The sequence below is a fragment of the Homo sapiens genome, chromosome 1 (assembly GCF_000001405.40).
Source record: "Homo sapiens chromosome 1, GRCh38.p14 Primary Assembly".
In the NCBI taxonomy this organism is placed as follows: domain Eukaryota; kingdom Metazoa; phylum Chordata; class Mammalia; order Primates; family Hominidae; genus Homo; species Homo sapiens.
The window spans coordinates 48,729,842-48,747,229 of NC_000001.11; the positions used below are offsets into that span (position 1 = coordinate 48,729,842).

Genomic DNA, 17,388 nt, shown 5'->3' on the forward strand with positions numbered 1-17,388 from the left:
TTCCCAAGCCTGACTAATCCTCACTTCATCTTGTCTTGGCCTTTCCATAAGGACTGAGAGACAAGAAGGTAGGAGGCCCTGTCTCTCCAGTCCCACCTCTGCTATATTCATCATCCTTTTCAACCTATTCCACCTGTCAGGGACCTTGCTCATCTCTGCTTAAGTCCTCACCCTTCACCTGCCTAAGCTCTACTCATTCTTCCAGATTCAGCTTTCTTGAAACCTAGTATCAGACTGAGTTAGGAGACCCCACTCTACCTAGAACTCTGTGCTCCCACACCTGTCTCGGTTTTTCTCTCTGTCAAAGCACGAATCACAATCTAATAAAACTGTAACCACATTGTTTCCCCCCAACAGACTGGGACACTCAGGCATTCCCTCTCTACCCCAGGCCAGGAGAAAACAAACACCCATAGTGACTTTGTAGGAACCTGAACCAAATGAGGGAGACAAACTGTGATGAGAACTGCTTAGAAGTTGAGATATTCGTATCTGATTCTAACCCTAGATGCTGTGCAACCTCTAGGGGGGACTTCTCTGGGTCTCGGTTTCACTATCTACGAAAGTAGCATTTCAAACCAGAGAATCTAAGAAGATTCCCCCAGCTCGAAGTCTCTAATTGTCTGCAAGGTAATAATGGCAGGTAAAGTGGCAAAGGAGACAGAAGGAGAAGGCAGGAGAGTGGGTGTGGTGGCCCTTGGAGCCCCTAGCATTAGTCAGGGAAGTGGTAGAAGGAGAAAGGTGCAAATGGAGGAAGGTTTTTGGAGGAGCCCCCATAGAATTTCAATCATTCTCATTTCCTGTGGGTAACAGCACTGAACGAAAAGCTTCTCAGGTTGATTAAAAGGCTTTCGTTAGACTCTAGATATTAATCACCTGCAGTTGCCGGGAATGTCTCCCTCTGCGAGGGAGCATTTGAGATTATTGCTTAATTAACAAGGTTTATAACAGTGCTAATGTGTCCTATTAAAAAAGTTATAAAAATTAACCGGAACGCAATGCTGAGGCTCATTTAGAAAACTCAGACACTCCACAAAAGGTCATTTGACCTTAATAGGTTTAACTGTCATTCTGGAGCTTGTCATTAGAGCAAGACTCTGCTTCAGCTCTCCTGCTTTTGTCTTTCCAAAGCAGCGTCAATGTTTGCCCCATCCCTCTGCTATCGGGTAAGGAACTATTTTAAAATCAAAGAGAAGAAGAAGAAATCCTCACCAACTCTGTGAGCATAAAGGCTTTTCTATTTTTTTATATGGCAAATGTGACTACATGTAACAAAATCAGACAAAATAAATACAAACAATCTCAATCCAGCAGACAGCTTGCATGGGAAGAACCAACCAAATGCAATCTGGAACAGCTCAAATAATTAGGCTAAAAACAGTGGTTATATTGTGGGATAGGAGACAGATGTCAAACCTGCCTGTCTTTAGTAAAAAAAAAAAATCAACATTATATTTCAGTAATACAAGAAACCTCTGGTGACAGCAGGTAGCCTGAAAGCCCAGTTCAGCTTGGCTGTCTCTAATCAGATGTATGGCCTTGGGCAAGTTAATTTCCTTCTCATTCACGTACAAGGCAAGCATTTATAGGCAATAAGGGTTAGACAAGTCTCCTAGGAGGCAAAGATACAGTAAGAAGAGAACTGAGGTAGGCACTGGGTGCTCTAAGATGAATGACAGCAGCATCCACCCACCCCAAAAGGTCAGAGATGATTTCCTGAAGGAAGGCTCACCTAAGCAGATCTGGGTGGTAAGCAGCAGTTAGCCAGGCAAAGCAGCACAGATGGAAGGTAGGTAGTGGGACCTGTGTTCCAGGCATCCGGAAAAGTATTTGCAAATTCCCCAAGGTGACAGGGAACAAGGCTTGTTCACGAAATACAGCAGTTCACCATGGTAATAACTTAAAGTTCAAGGGGAATACTGCTGAAAAATAATACAGGAGATATAGCCAGAAACCAGATTACACAGGTGCTTCTATGGCATGTTTAGAAGCTTACCCTTCAACAGTGAACATTCTGAACAGGCTGTGACTGGGTGGTGGTCAAGGGATATCTGGTTTCTGAAGATTGCTCTGGTTACATAATGGAGAGAGGAGTCTGGAAGCTGCCAGAGTAATGGAGGGGAGAAATGAGTGTGGGCTATGAGAAGGGCAGTACTGTGGAGAGATGCAGATGGTTCTCTCCATATTTGGAAAAAGTAGAGAAACTTTAAAATGGCTTAGAAAATGGGGGAGTGGATCAGCAGTGGTTTAAGAGAGATTTGGGGCCAAACAGATGGGTAGTGAGGGATGTGGAGGAGTCAAGGATGAGACCTGGGTGCCTGGCTGGTGGTACTATTCACCAAGACAGGGAACATAGAAGAGGCAAAGGCTTCACAGAGAAGGAGAGGAAGAAAGAGAGAGAAGTGAGCAGTGCAGTTTTGCCAATGTCATGTGGGCATCTGTGAAGAGATAACCAGTGGGCACTTTGATCATAGATCAAGAAATCAGAAGTGTGAATTGAGTCAAATACAGATTTGGGAATCATCATTCATTGAATCAACAAATATTTATTGAGCACTTACTATAGGCTAGCCCTGAACAAGATGCTCATAAAGTTTAATTCTAATGGAAGTGGGAGAAGAAAGAAAATTAACAAGTAAAAAAAGTAAATAGGAAATGCTATGCAGAGACTTGGAGTAGGGTGATGTGACAGACAGCAATGGAGAGGCTACTTTAGACTGAGTGGCTGGGGAGGCCTCTCTCAGTGACAGGGAGGGAGGGCACGCAGATCAGGAGCAAGGGAGTAGCAACAGAAAGGACCTGGAAGAAGGCCTCCAGGGCTACAGCACAATAGCAAATGGGAAGTGTGGTATAAGATGAGGTCAGAGGCGTCCCAAAGGCAGATCATCTGTAACAGGTGAGGAGTACAGATTTCAACCCAAAGTCAAGGGCACACTGAAGGCAATGGGAACAATAGGAAGTGAGGAGAGAAGCTGAGGAGTGCTTGGTAGGATCAGCGAGAAGATGGCTGGACACAGAGGAGAGGGCCCATCAAGGAGACTGAGAAACCAGAGAGATGGGAAGAAATCCCCAGCGTGCAGAACAGGTTTCTCAGTGAAGGAGGAATGATCGTGTCAAACAGTGCCAGTGAGACTGTGAGAAACACACAAGGATTTAGAGACGAGGAAGTCACTGGGGACCTTGGTGAAAACACATTAAGCAGAAGGCTGGGAGGGGAAGGCAAATGGCAAAGGCATTACCAGGGAACACACACAGTGGGTGTAGCTCGTCTTTCCAGGAGCCTGCATGTGAAAGAAGGGAGATATGATAGCAGCTGGGTGACAGAGTGCCCTTTAAGGAGGGTTTCTTTGCTTTTGTAAGAAATGAGTGATCAAATATATTTACATGATGCTGGGAAGGAACCAGTAGTAGAGCAGGAGCATAACTGAAGGAACAAGGTACTTAGGAAGGCAGGTGGACTGAAATCCAGAGCCCAGATGGAGAGAATCACCAGCCCCAAATAAGGAACTCCTTTGGGACAGGAGGCAGGAAAATGGAGGACATAGTTAAGTCTGTAGGTGTGATGCCTCAAAACTGTGGAAATTCCTTTATTTTCCTCTGTGAAAGAAGAGACAAGGCCTATCTCTTTGATTGATGCGAACTATCATATTTGGAAAAAGTAAAAAAATTTAAAAACGGCTTGGAAAATGAGGTAGTAGATCAGGGAGGGAAACTCACACAACTTGGCAGATGATGCTGAGTTCCAGCTGGGGTTGGAGCTAAGGAGTGTGTAATGGCCCAAGCCACATGCATGGCTGAGGTGTATTCTTCTACATTGCTGCACTGCTACAATCCTAGGCAGCCCTGACTATCTTACGAGGTAAGATGATTTCAGCTTAGTTTTCAGCTAAGAAATCTGAAACATGGAGAGAAAGTGATTTACAAGAAATCACACAAAATTTGGTCAGGCGATCAGCTTGTGGGTCTCTGTGTTTCTTCTGTTCAACCTTCGTTTACTGAGTGCCTACTATGTGCCAGACACTATGTTTGGAAATGAGGCCACAGAGATGAATCAGATACAGTCCCCAGATCCCTGAAGGAGACACACAGCAGATGATTTTATACCATGTGATAATGGCAGGAATAGACAGTTATCTGAAGGCACCCAGGACCTCCTGAGTCACGTTCCAACAAACATAGCAGAATTAGAGGTCGGTCACCTACCAGGCAGGGCAGGGCAGGGCTGCATCCCCAGGATGGCCTTTTTCTCAGGGTGACCTCCCAAATCAGGCTTTACCATTTCAGACAGCAGCAAGACGAAAGGTTACCTCTGATTATCCAAAAATAAGCGGCTGCCTAAATCAATTAATCCGGAGTCAGCCAGGCAAGGGAGGCAGCTATGTTACAGCAGAACAAGCCCCAGACCAGAGTCGGCGGGTGTGTGTTTGAATCTAGGCTCTGAAACCTTATAGCTTTGACCTCAGGCTGGTTGCTTACCCTATGTCCTGCCACCTTGAACTCCAAAATACACCCTACACTTGGGCATATTTCTCCACCTCCACTGCTGTGCCCTTAGTCTATGGCAGCAGCATCTCTCACCAAGAGCACTGTATCAGCTTTGTAACTCATCTCCCATGTGGTCACTCCATGACTGGAAGACCTCCATTGCCCTTTGACTCCAGCAAATCCAAGCTGCTTACTGTGGCCTTCCCAGCCCTACAAGACAGGCTCTCGCCCACCTCCCTGACCTCACTCTTCCTTCTACATCCCAGCCATCTGGGGCTTCTTCACACCCGGAGCATGCCAGCCTTCATACCTGCTGCTTATTCTGCCTGATTTGCCACCCCTCAGACCATTATAAAGATGCTTCTTCCACATCCAGATTGCAGCTCAAATGTCACCTCCTCAAACAGACCTTCTCCAACTACCCCAGTGAATGCAGCCCTCTCTGTCCTACCACATCATATGAGCAAGCTCACAGTACCTGAAGTTATCGAGCTTGTTCCTGGACATATTTGTTGTCTGCCCCCAGAGTCTGCTGAAAACATATGTGTTGACTGACTGAGTCTTACTTTCTTTATGAAGACATGGCAGACCTGGACACTAGTCAGTGGTTAGGAGCACAGATTCTGAAGACAGCCTGCTGGCTCGGGTTCCTGGCTCTCCTCCCACTAGCTGTATAACCTGGTCAAGTTACTTAACATTTCTGTGTCTCAGTTTCCTTGTCCGTAAAATAGGAATTATAATAGTAGCCAACAGTAGGGTTGCTATGAGGATAATGAGTTAACATACATAAAAGTGTTTTTTAAAAGAGAACCATTTAACAAAAACCCCTAAATCCTGAAACACAGTTAAGTGCCTAAAATAATTAGCAACTACTTTATTCTCTTTGCTCCCTCTACACCATGGTCTGTCTCTATAGTTTGTGTTTTCTGTAGAGTAACTAGTTGTTTTTGTGTTTATCTTCCCTGTGAGAATATGAACTCCTTGCAGATGAAGGCTGTGTCTTACCCCTCTTTGTGTCTTCAATACCCATTAGAGGGCCTGGCAAAGAATGGATGGATGGAGGGAGGGTGGGAGAGAGGGAGGAAAGAAAAAAGACAGAGGAGAAAGAAGAGAGGAGGAAGGAGAGAAAGTAGAGGAAGGAGGAAAGGAAGGAAGGAAAAAGGAGGAAGGAGGAAGGAAGGAGGGAAGAAAGGAAGGAAGTAAGGAAGGAAGAAGGAAAAAGGAAAGGAGGGAGGGAGGAAGAGAAAATTCCAGAGTCCAGGATACAGCCCTATCTTTAGGGAGACAAATGACTCCCTGTCTCTTTGCCTGCCCTCCAACCTCTCCCATATACCAGAAAGGAACCAGAAAGGAAGCTGAATCTAGTGACTACCAGCTGGTCTTCATCTCATTAACTGCTCCAGGCACAATGCTAGAACCACCAAGAACTGCGTCCCCTAGCCTTGACCTTTCCTGCTCTGGGTACACAGCAGCATTCCTTTCCCATCTCCATGCCTTTGTTCAAGATGCTTCTGCCTCCAGAAGAGCAATACCTCACCATACACATCTGTGTCTCCTAGTCTGCCGTATTCTTCAAGGCCCAGTTCAGTGACCCCCGTCCCCAGGAATTCTTCCCTGATTTTCCAGCTAAGGGTATCCTCCCCTCCTGAGAACTCCCTTAGCACACCATCTGTCCCTTTCTCATGCTAATTCCTTGTGGAATATAATCGTACTTGTGTCCACAGCTCATCTGCCCTGGTAAATGTGAGCTCTTCTGGGGCATTTGGGTTATCCGCTTGGTGTCCCCGGGCTCAGCCCAGGGTCTGGCATGCAGAAGCTTCATAAGTAATCGTTGAATTGAATTGTGCCTAACACATTCTTGACAGAGTAAAAGACAGAATCCCAGCCATTGTGTTTCCACTCAGTGACCTACCTCTGACGATGCTTAGTTTGTGAGGCGAGAGGGGTGGTTTAGGGACTGCATCTTTCTTTTTTTTTGTGGCGACGCCTGTGACGCTTCTGTTTTTCAGAACATCTGTTCCCCAAATCATAACTGCCAAGTTCTTCGTGTACTTGGAATCTCCTTGGGTTACTTGTAGCTGGTGCCATTTCTCCTCATCAACCCAAATCCCGCTTCCCAGATGGACCTGAGAGGAATAAGAACACCAGCACCTGTTTAGTCCGACAGGAGGGCAGTGGGAGGCTTCTCTTGTCCTTTAAAAAGCATTGCTGCACAACTGTAAGAGATTCATGTCATAAATATGAAATTAACTCTCTTTAAGGGTAATCGTAATAGCTATCATCTACTGAATACGTGTAGTGTGCCAGGCCTTATTCTAGGGCTTTATATTTGCTATCTTAAATCTTCATGGCAATTGTGGATAGAAGGCATTATAACACCATTTTCCTTTCAGATGGAAACACCGGTTCAGACAGGTGAGGTGACTTGCTGAACATCATTCAACTAGTAAGTGGCAGAGTTGATATTCTACACTATACTTAGTTTATCACAAGGCTGCTCAGAGCCTTACCAAATCTCAGGACACCCATGCTTAACTTCTTTCTGTGTTACACTATGGAAAGACCCACCTTCCTTTAATGTGAACATTCTGGGACATATACCTTCCTAGTATGGTGGTTCTCAACCTTGGCTGCACACAGGGGTCACCTAGGGAGCTGTAAAAATCACCAGTGACAGCCAGGCATGGTGGCTCACACCTGTAATCCCAGCACTTTGGGAGGCAGAGGTGGGCGGATCACGAGATCAGGAGATTGGGACCATCCTGGCTAACATGGTAAAACTCCATCTCTACTAAAAATACAAAAAAATTAGCCAGGTGTGGTGGCACGCACCTGTAGTCCCAGCTGCTTGGGAGGCTGAGGCAAGAGAATCGCTTGAACCTGGGAGGAAGAGGTTGCAGTGAGCCGAGATCGTGCCACTGCACTCCAGTCTGGGAGACAGAGCGAGACTCCGTCTCAAAAAGAAAAAAGAAAAAAAGAAAAGAAAAAAAAATCATCAGTTCGTGGGCCCCACTCCTAGAGATTCTGATTTATTTGGGCTGGGTGTGGCCTAAATAATTCCAGTGTATGGCTAAGTGTGAAAACCTCTGCCAGCTCAAGTAAGGAGAGCAGCTGCCCTGCCAATTGGAGTAGGGCTGTGCCAGTCCTTTCCCACCTCTGAGCTTCATTTCCCTACCTATGAAGTGGTGGAGCTGGATTTCATCTCAAAGTTCCTTCTGGCTCAAAACACCTATGATTTTAAACACAACCACAAGGTACCCAGTTTGATTCCGACGGCACAAAGAACAAAACACAATCTTATGCTCCCTATGAGTTTCAGTGCAGAGCCAATAAGACCCAGAATGTTCCAGCAATAAGCTATAAGATTTTAATTTGTTCTCCTTTCTGCATCTTTAGTAAATCTAAAAAAGAAAAAAGAGTATAAAATTTAGATCTCACAAGTCATTTACTAACATTAATCATTAAAAAAACAGTGTTCACTTTGACATTGCCATTTATGTCATGCTTCTGCTGAGTCTGTGAAGGGACGAAATGGCCTCTGTGGGGACAGAGGGCGGCAGCTGCTAATGAGCTAAACTTTCTAAGGGACATGAGAAGGACCTGCCAAAGGTCCTTGTTTTCAGAAAGGCCTGCAGTTTGCCAATATCACATGGTCAGAGACATCTCTGGAGAGGTCCCTGGTCTAAGAGACTGGATGCATACCCAACTAATGGCAGACCAGCAAGATCAATTGTTCAAAAAACAATTAAAGATCTTTCTACTACTGGAGCTTGGCTTGGGAAGGAAGGTGAATACACATAGTTAGGCAGTCAGGTCAGCCAGCAAAACTTCTTCCTTTACCAATTACTGAAATTTTCCAACCATCAAGAAGAAAAAAAATAGCAATGCAGCCCACCCATGAATGTAAGTCAACAATCTACCTGCACGTCTGACTTCACCTCCTTTTGCTCAAAAGATCAGTCAGACTGCTGCAGGCAATCAGATAACTAGATCCACCTGGCCTCTCTGTGCTGTAAACTTCAGTACTGCAAATCTGTTCATCCGCTCAGGAAAGATAAGCAGCCTTGGAGTGAGATGTACTACCTGGCTGCTGGCTAGGCAACACGGACACCAAGGTCAAGTGTGGCCTTTTCTCCGCAGTTCGAACTGCAGGTGGGCAGTCTGTGTGCCAGACTGGGCATGCTGGGGACAAGTTCCCCACTGCTCCCTGCTGGACCCTGCATCACTTCCCTTGATGACACTTGAAGCCACCCACACAAGCTTCCTGAGATAGGAGAAAAACAAGGAACTTTGAATTACATTAAATTCTGAATCAGAAAATCATAGAGATGGATGCCAACTTTACATTTTTCAAAAATCTCTGCTTTTTTCCCCCACCACTGATCCTTGCTTTCCTGTGATCTTTTAATTTGTTATTCTTGAAAGGGAGATGAAAGTCCTTTTAGCCAATGTTCTACAAGAGAAAAGGGGTACTAGTATTTTTTGAGTACCTGGTTCACGTACAATGAACCAGGTATTGTACATTCAATTTATTTATTCCTCATAATGACCTTAAGAGATGGAAATAGGTAGAAATTATTTTCCCATTTTACAGATGTAAACAGAGATTCAGAGGGACTATGTAACTTTTCCTAAGGTACACAATCAGTCAATTTTGGAATCAAGATTCAAACCCAAATCCTGAAGCTTCTGCTCTCCCTGTCTTCCTTGCTGCCACCACGGTGGTACTGATGTAGATCAAAGACAGCAGACCTAACACATCAATGTTCAGTTAGTTTTCCTTTTGAGTTTCCTCTGTATCTGCCTGGCTACTTCCCACACCAGCTCCCAGTGCAGTTCACCACTGCAGACAGGGAAACCAGGAAAACAGCCACCGACTGGCCTTTGCCTCCAGTCCTTGCTCCCTTCAACCCGCCCATCCTATAATCACGACAGATTAAGTTCCCTAAAATACCTCCTTCCTTATTTGACTAGATGACTTCTGCAGTCTTTCAACTGTGTTTTTAGGTAAATCCTCTGGAATTTTGAATGGCTCCCTGTTTTCTATCACATTTAATCCAACTTCCTCAGCCTGGCTTTGAAGGCCCATTAGAATCCATTCTGTTCACTACTACTTCATTTCTCTACTATATTCATCTACATAGTCCATCTACACTACAAAATTCCGGAACTTGTTCATTTCCCGCTACTTCCAGTGTGCCGTAACATCAAGAGGATGGGTGCTGGAGCTGCCAGCCTGGGTGTAAATCTCAGCTATTCTACCTGCGTGCTGGTTAACTTGGGCCAGTCACTTTATTTCCTGAGCCTTACTTTTCTCAGCTATACAGTCAGCAGATCAGTGCTACCTCAGAGTTGCTGAGAGGGTTAAATGAGAAAAGATGTGTAAAGTGTCAGGAGGACACAGCAACTGTTACATCCTTTACCCTCTTTCCCCTCCCCATGTTTCCGCTCCTGCCATTCTCTTGTCCAGGAATAAATGTTTTCCCTACGTTTTCTTAAGCCTGCTAATCTTTCAAGTCCCAGTCTAAAATTCAGGAAACACTCCTTAATTACTGCAGAGCTAAGTTCTATCCTTTATGAATTTCTAGCTCACTTAGAGCCTTTGCCACCTGATTCAGTCCTTCACAGTACATGTCAGTGGGGAGGGTCAAGGCTTTGCCTCTTCTGTCCCCTACAAAGTGATAAGGGCTAGTCTGTACACAAAGCAGTAAGAAATTGATGGGCATATTTAATGTCTTTATGGAACTGTTTTTCACTTCTGATGAGCTGCTGTTCCTTGGAGATGAAAATATTTTCTGACATTCACTCAAGTACAAGGCCAACTTTAGAACACAGAAAGAAATGGGCTTTGCTATGACCAATCACAGGTATAGGCCGGGGCATTTGAGACAAGGGCCCCTGAGGTTAGCAAGGCTCAAGGTCACCTGGAGCAATGTTCAGTTTTCAGGGATGTAGCAGAACAGACTGGTGAGAGTACTGGCCTGGGAACCAGGAGGTCTGGCTTTCAGTTCCTGCCTGCCTCTAACCTGTTATGTAATTATAGAGGAGTCCCTTCTCTGGATATGTTTCCCTACCCATACTATGTATAAATTAGGTTATTTAAAATTTGATGGTCTTTGCAGCTTTATGATTCAATGAGTTTTTGAAATAAAACATTTAGACAAAGAAACACAATGCACTTTACCCAAATCAGAAATTTGTGTGGCAAGCCTGATTCATGTAAACCACAGTATACTATTTGACCAAAGTGTTAGTGTTATGTGTCAAAGGAGGTTATTAAAAATATGGCATCTGGTAGGATGGAACTTGATCAAAATATATTTATGTGAAAAGTTTTATAGGACAAAAATCATTTCCTACTAGGAAATGTGTCCCATTCCAGTGCTCTAAGCCTTGCAGAGATTAAGGCCTCTGATCGTGCAGACAGAAGGAAGGGTCAGACAAGACAGCAGAGCCAAGAACAATGAGGGCTACTTCTGGGATGTGGAGATGCTGTTCTGGGAAGCTGCCATCATTTCCAGTGCGTCCACTTCCTTTCCTCTGCATTTAAAACTCTCTCTGCCTGACTACCAATTAGGTGCAAATAAAAACCAGGTTAGTCTTATAGCAACATGCTGGCAAAAACCAATGAAAAAACAAAATAGGCATTTTCAAGATTTGCTGTTCAACTCACGTGTAAAAATATTAAATGAGATTTGAGAGACTCATTTTCTGGGGGAAGAATGCTATCTTTGCAAAAGAGGCCCCCTATAATGCTCTGAAACTATCCATCAGCCTTCAAGGCAAGGGAGAAATAGATTTCTCTTGGAAGCTACTTTAAGAAAAACTCTCTAGTCACTCCACAATGTGTTCATGACTAAAAAGAAATCAACAAACATAGCATAGTCCTATCTTTTATCTTTGATTGGGGAAGGTTCACCAAACTTAGATACACAGTTTGAATCAGAAAGGCCTTTGGAGAGCATCAATCCAATCCCATCTTTCACAGACAAGGATGCCGAGACCCAGAGAAGTGAAGGATCTTTGCAAGGTCACACAGGTAGGACAGATGTAGAGCTATGCTAAGAACTCAGGCTCCAGGCTGCCGACTTCCAACTTGTCATGCCACCTCTCCTCTGCAAAGCTGACGTTTCAAGCCTGCTGAAGGCAGCAAGGCAAGGCAGAATGGGCCTGTGGCCTGGCCCATCAGCTTTGCCTCTGCAGGGGAGGAGGCGCTCAGTGGGAGATGCAGGGAACGACACCACATCCAAGAGAGTCCTGAAAACTAATACGTTTCATTTCCTCAGCTTGACAATATTTGCTTTGGCTCAGGTTGGCCAGTTGCAGAGACATATCTGGACAAACCCAAATAAAACAAATTTTTCTTTCTCATCAACCTAACAGAGAATGATACTAAATAAACAGAGACCTTTTGAAGCATGAGGCAAGAAAAATGAACCAACACATGACGCGTTAAGGAGAACGAGAGGCGATGTCTGTAATGCATGCCACAGTGGCAGAGAACATAACGCTAAAGCTGAATTTCACCAGTGCCAACACAAAGGGCTCTGATGTACTTCTTCAAAGATCAATTCAATTGAATGTTAGAAGAATGTCAGAAAAATTTCCTCCCCTGCCCTGCTGGTATATCATCATGTGACTTTAAGATTTTTCACGAGCGATTCCATTACTAATAATCTTAAGTTTTTGTTTATGATTTGTTTTCAAGGTCATATAAATAACGCTGAGTAGTTCTATAAGGTCCTAGGACTGTGCGCTAACCACTGCTGCATACACAGCTTGAAGGAGGCTTGGGGATAAGGGAGTATGTCTTGTTCTTCCCTGTATTCCTGTTATCTAGCACAGGGCTTAGAACATACAGATACTTTCTAAGTGGTGAATGAACACAAACTGAGTTGTTATCTGTAAATAAGATACTTCATTTCCAGTTCACCTGATAAATTTTAGGCATCTGGTTACATAGGAAGGTGGGACAAGTTTCATCAAACTATCATGGGAATTAAGAAATATCTTTGTCACTAGTAAGCTATTTTAAAATGTCAATTTACTTTTACAGTTGCTTTGGATCAATATTTTTTAAAAAAAGAAAGAAAGAAAAAAAAAAGGAAGAAGGAAGAGAAAACGCCCCAGCAAAGCTACGCTACTGATAGTATACAAATTCCAGAAACAGTCATTCAGGGCTAGGCCAGGAGGCCAACCAGTCAAGCTGCGATTTGGAAAGCTCCCACCATACTCTCCACCTTTACTCTGACTAACAAACACTTGCAGGGAATGGATATTGAGCTTAAAACACTACCTTGCCATTGTCTAGGATATACTTGTCCATGACAGGCGCAGGAGCGGGGTAATAGGACGACGTATTTGCTTCCTCACTGAAAGTGCTCCGTAACTCCGGCTCGGGCTCGAGACATTCTGACTTTACTTTTTCCAGATCAATGGCGGGACCTAGGCAGTTAAGAAAAGAAATCTGTCTAGAACTCCAAGGAAAATAAAAGGCAAATATTTTTAACTAGGCATCTATCAGCACACCATGGCACAAAAAATTTGCTAGCTTATTTTTGTCCATTGAACTACACTTAAACCCAGACTCGAAAATAATGTGAGGTATGAATGTCACAAGGGAAAAGGTGGAAAACTGGAAGACAAGAGTGGACTAGACTCTAATCAAGTTTGAATGAAGAGCACTCTTCCAGGGTGTCATTGTCTAAATGGAAAGGCAGGGATTCAACTTCCTGCATAGGAAAGAGGTTCTGTTACGCCTGGGTTGGAGGAGAAGGGGTGGGAATTACTGAAATATGCAAATCGTGTATTTGCCAAAATCCTCACCTCAGTATCTTACAGTGGAGAAGGCCGTAACAGAAGAAGGGAGCTTAGGAAAGTGTGGGCAAAAATGTTAAGGCCTCCCCCTCCCCAAGACCTAGTATCTAGACTGGAGCATTTGAATCAAGAAATTAAAACACAATACACATTAAGCCCCTGATTGCCTGATCCAGCAGCTACTCTGATTTTTATTTTAATGCAATCAACACAAATTACATGCAGTTTAAACAGCAAAAAGGAAGCTAGATAAATGGTGATAGTTTCTAAAGGGGTTATTTTTTCTCCATTAGCTTTTAAAAATGGACTGTTTTATAAAATCACCTATTGTGTGTTGATTACTTAAGGGCAGAGAAACAGGATGAAAATGGGTAAATAAGGCCAAATGACTTGATTAACTTTTGTGGGAGAACAACTTCAAAGGCCCACATAATTTAACATGCTGGAAATTCTCCCCATGCAAACATTTCAGGAGTTGACTAAGATCAGAGATGTGGCTACTGCCACAGCAGCTCCCTCTGTCTGTGCATGTTAACTTAGGTAACAGATGAACTCACAGACCAGCCTTCTCTTATCCTAGCCATGTGGACAACTGGGTACAAAGCTCTTTATATATTAAAGCCCTTTGTAACAATCTGCTTGCCACTCTGGGTTCAGTTAACACATCCTAGACTTTGGTTGGTGGCAGTGAAGGTCCTGGTGAATTTGTTACTAAAATTCTTCATGATACAGCTTCCCAGGAGAGAATCTCAATCCTGAGTTGCTGGCAGCTGCTAACTGAAAGACGAAGTCTCTGTAGTATCATAAAATTTAAGAATGAAACTTGCACAAAGCTGAATGCAAGATGGTTGGGGAGCAGAACAGTGCAAATAAAAGAGCTCAACTCATCCTGGTAGAGATTTCAGGTCCCATTCCTGGCTACACTATATTTTAATTGTGTGACCACAGGTGAGTAAATTACAGATATAGAACCTGGCAGAGCGAAGGACCAATAGCATCATCATCGTTCTGACAGCACCTCCCAATTAGAGGTGCAAGACCTATTCAAGGGCTGGGCCTAGGTCTTATTCTTTCCTTTGTCCCCAGCACCTGGGGCTGAGTAGGCACTCTCTAAATGTTTGCTAAGTAAATAAAACAATGACAACAATGAATGAGTAATTCTAAAGTTTCAGAAGCAAATACCAAAGTTTCTTCTCTCTGTGTGGGATCACAGGTTAAAATTTTGAGACATAAACAAATTCAAGTGGAGCATTTGATCTTTTCTCAGATCTGGGAAAAGGTAATTACTTATATTTCCCCTAAAGCACATAGCTGAGTTGGCGTGTGAAGTCTCTTCTAGCTCTGACCTTCAGTCAACAGAAAAAAAATAATAGGCTGAAAAGAGGAGGTCCATGAAAGGCACTCACTCACGGTCATTTTTAGCAAGAACATGTCTTTCCTCTAAAGCCTCCTTTTCCTTCCATGAGAGGCTGGACAACAGAATGAATCCAGTACAGCCGTAACTTCAGTTGATTCTCTCCCATCCATCTCTATAAAGGCCATCAAAGGGATCTTCCACATGACCCTGTCTTTCCTTGCTTAGGCTGCCCACTACCCTCAAAATTAAGTCCCACACCATGGCCTCCATAAGGCCCAGAACAACCAGCCTCCTCTCTACCGCTAGGGTTCATTTCTTGCCCCCCACCAATATTCACCTCTGCTCAGGTACCCCAAATGCTATGTTGTTCCAGGCCTCTGTGCTGTTTGTCTTGGCGCTGAACACTACCTCATCTGTCTGCCAAGCACCCAGTTAGACTTTCGGACATAGCTCAGGTGTCTCCTTTGTGAGGCTTGATTGTCATCACTCCCAGGTAGGGGGGGTCTCTACATTGTGACTACTTTTAGCAAATTATGTTTGCAATCATCTGCCTGTCGGTTTTCAACATTAGACTATAAAGCTCTTCAAGAGCAAAGTTTTACTCCCTTTAGCATCTTGGAGCGTAGGGAAGCGCCTGGCACATGGCAGGCTCTTAGTAAATTCTTCATGACATGAGAGGGGAGGAAGAGAGGGACTTTAATGGGCTGGGAGAAAGATTCTGAAGTAAAGTCCTGCTGCTGAGTAGAGGTGCTTGAGGGTAGAGGCATGGACAGGTGGGAAGCTGTTCTGAATGTCTGTAATCTTTCTTGGAGTCCGAGAAGTAGAAATCAGGGCTGTTAAGTTGAAATCAGAAGCATCTAGTTAGAATGGACAATTCACATGGCACAGTTACAGACAAAGGGCTCTGCTATCACACTGTCTACAGAGGGACAGCTAACGGACATCAGAGGGAGCAGGGGTTGAAAGAGTCACCTCTCTGGCTCCATCCTGTTGGTCCCCTCCCATAGTCAGACTCCACTCTAGGCAAAGTGGCTGGCCTAACCCTCTCCACACATACACCATTCTTTCCTGCCTCCTACTCTTTGCTTATGCCATTCCTTTTGTCCAGAACATTCTACCCCTAGAGATGTCCACCTATACAAACTCCACCAGTGATGCAAGGCCTGACTCAAATGCCATCTCTCCAATGAGGCTGCCCTATCCCCTCAAAGACTAGTAAATAATTATCTCTAGCCCTTGGCTTGGGATTTGGAGACAGAGCTCCAAATACTGGGTTTAAGTACTGGGTTTGCCACTTACTGTTTAGTTGACTTGTGACCTTCCTTGGGTAGTAGAGCTTCCTTTGCACTCTCCCCACCCCTCTGCCCCTACTCTACCATAATAATCAGATGTACTTGTTCGTCTCTATATCTGTCTCCCCTACTAAAGGAGGAGGGAGCAGCCAAAAACGGTGCCTTTTTATGTCAGAAAGGAGGCTTGAGGACAGCCAAGGACCGTGTCTTTTTATGTCAGAGACCAGGTCTCACCTGGCACAGTGCTTGATTCACATTCTATCCTCAAGAGATAATGTACACATAAATAATTGCTTAACCTCTCTGATCTTGTTGTGTCACCTGAAAGGAGGAAAGATAACAGTGACTTGGCAAGACTGAGGATTAAATCAGATAACTATATATATATATTCGTATATTTATATGAAACAATGATTTCAGAGTCTAGTACAGAGTGGGTTTTTTTGGTAAATAGTCATTCACTCCCTCTCCACCCACTCCCACACAAGTTACACTTGTGCGCTTAAGTTCGTCTCTACTAAAGCATAGGTTCTGTGAAACAGAGGCCCTGCTGTTCTGCTTTTGCCCCTAGTGCTTAGCACAGGCCCAGCACAGAGCAGGTCCTTGTACTCCACAGCCCACCCACTCTCCTCAAGGTTCACGACGGTCCCCTCAAGGCTCACGAAGGTGTCCTAAGGGACTGATAGACTTCTGTCAAATATTGAAGCTACTATACTGAGATCTTGGCTCTCAAGAAAAACTATTTTCTAAATTTCTCACTCAGCACCATTTGCTTAACACCTGGTGAAAGCTCTCCGCAACAGCCTCCTCCTTCCAGGACATTGTCTACAGAAGGTCGGCTTGAAAAGCCAACCAAAGGTACATCTTAAAAGGGAATGTTCAGGAGACCTGGGTGTGAATCCCAGCTCATGACTTTGAAGTCAGGTCATCTTACCCTCTCTGCAACTCAGCTTTCCTACCTGCAAAATGGGGATTACCAAAAGCCACCATGCAGGCTGCTGACGTCTCTGGAAGAGCCTAGCACTGAGGCAGGCACAGAACAGACAGAAGCTGGCAAAACGGCAGATGAATGAAGGAATGAATCAATCAACAGAGCGCAATGTTTAGCATTACAGGATCAGAAAGAAAAGGAACAAAAAAAGCATGTGTTTTCTTCAGGGAGAGCAGGGAGGGCCCCTAGTGCTTTTAATTTAAGAGGGGAGAAAATCACTTCATTGCAAATTTTAGTCGGCTTCACTACCGATGTTGGCAATTTACATCTCATTACAACAAATGCTTCAGATTGCTGTTTTGCTTTTAAAAAATTTCTGAGGCATTGTTCTCCCTCAAACACATGTGACCAAATTAGCCACAATAATAAGCACTTGCGTTAAGAGACAGCATTGTACAATCTGGCGCAGATATTTTAGGTAACAAAAGAACTTTTTTCACTTTGTG

General features: G+C 44.1%; 2 protein-coding genes across 19 annotated transcripts in view; both read right to left on the minus strand.

Moving 5' to 3' along the window:
• AGBL4 (AGBL carboxypeptidase 4) overlaps positions 1 to 17,388 on the minus strand; it is a 1,501,444-nt gene that overhangs the window by 207,331 nt on the left and 1,276,725 nt on the right. The gene's annotated exons all lie outside the window — the stretch shown is intronic.
• Positions 1 to 17,388, minus strand: part of BEND5 (BEN domain containing 5) — a 49,373-nt gene that overhangs the window by 2,323 nt on the left and 29,662 nt on the right. For 8 of the 11 annotated variants that reach the window (NM_001349793.2, NM_024603.4, NM_001302082.2 and 5 more), the window contains 2 exons: positions 12,782 to 12,930; positions 6,398 to 6,611 (listed from right to left, as the gene is read on the minus strand). In NM_001349793.2, the coding sequence (NP_001336722.1) occupies positions 6,398 to 6,611; positions 12,782 to 12,930 (363 nt within the window). Of the gene's footprint in view, positions 1 to 6,397; positions 6,612 to 12,781; positions 12,931 to 17,388 lie in introns of those variants that run through there. The other 3 variants (NR_146232.2, XM_047430520.1, XM_017002333.3) reach the window with 2 other exon arrangements.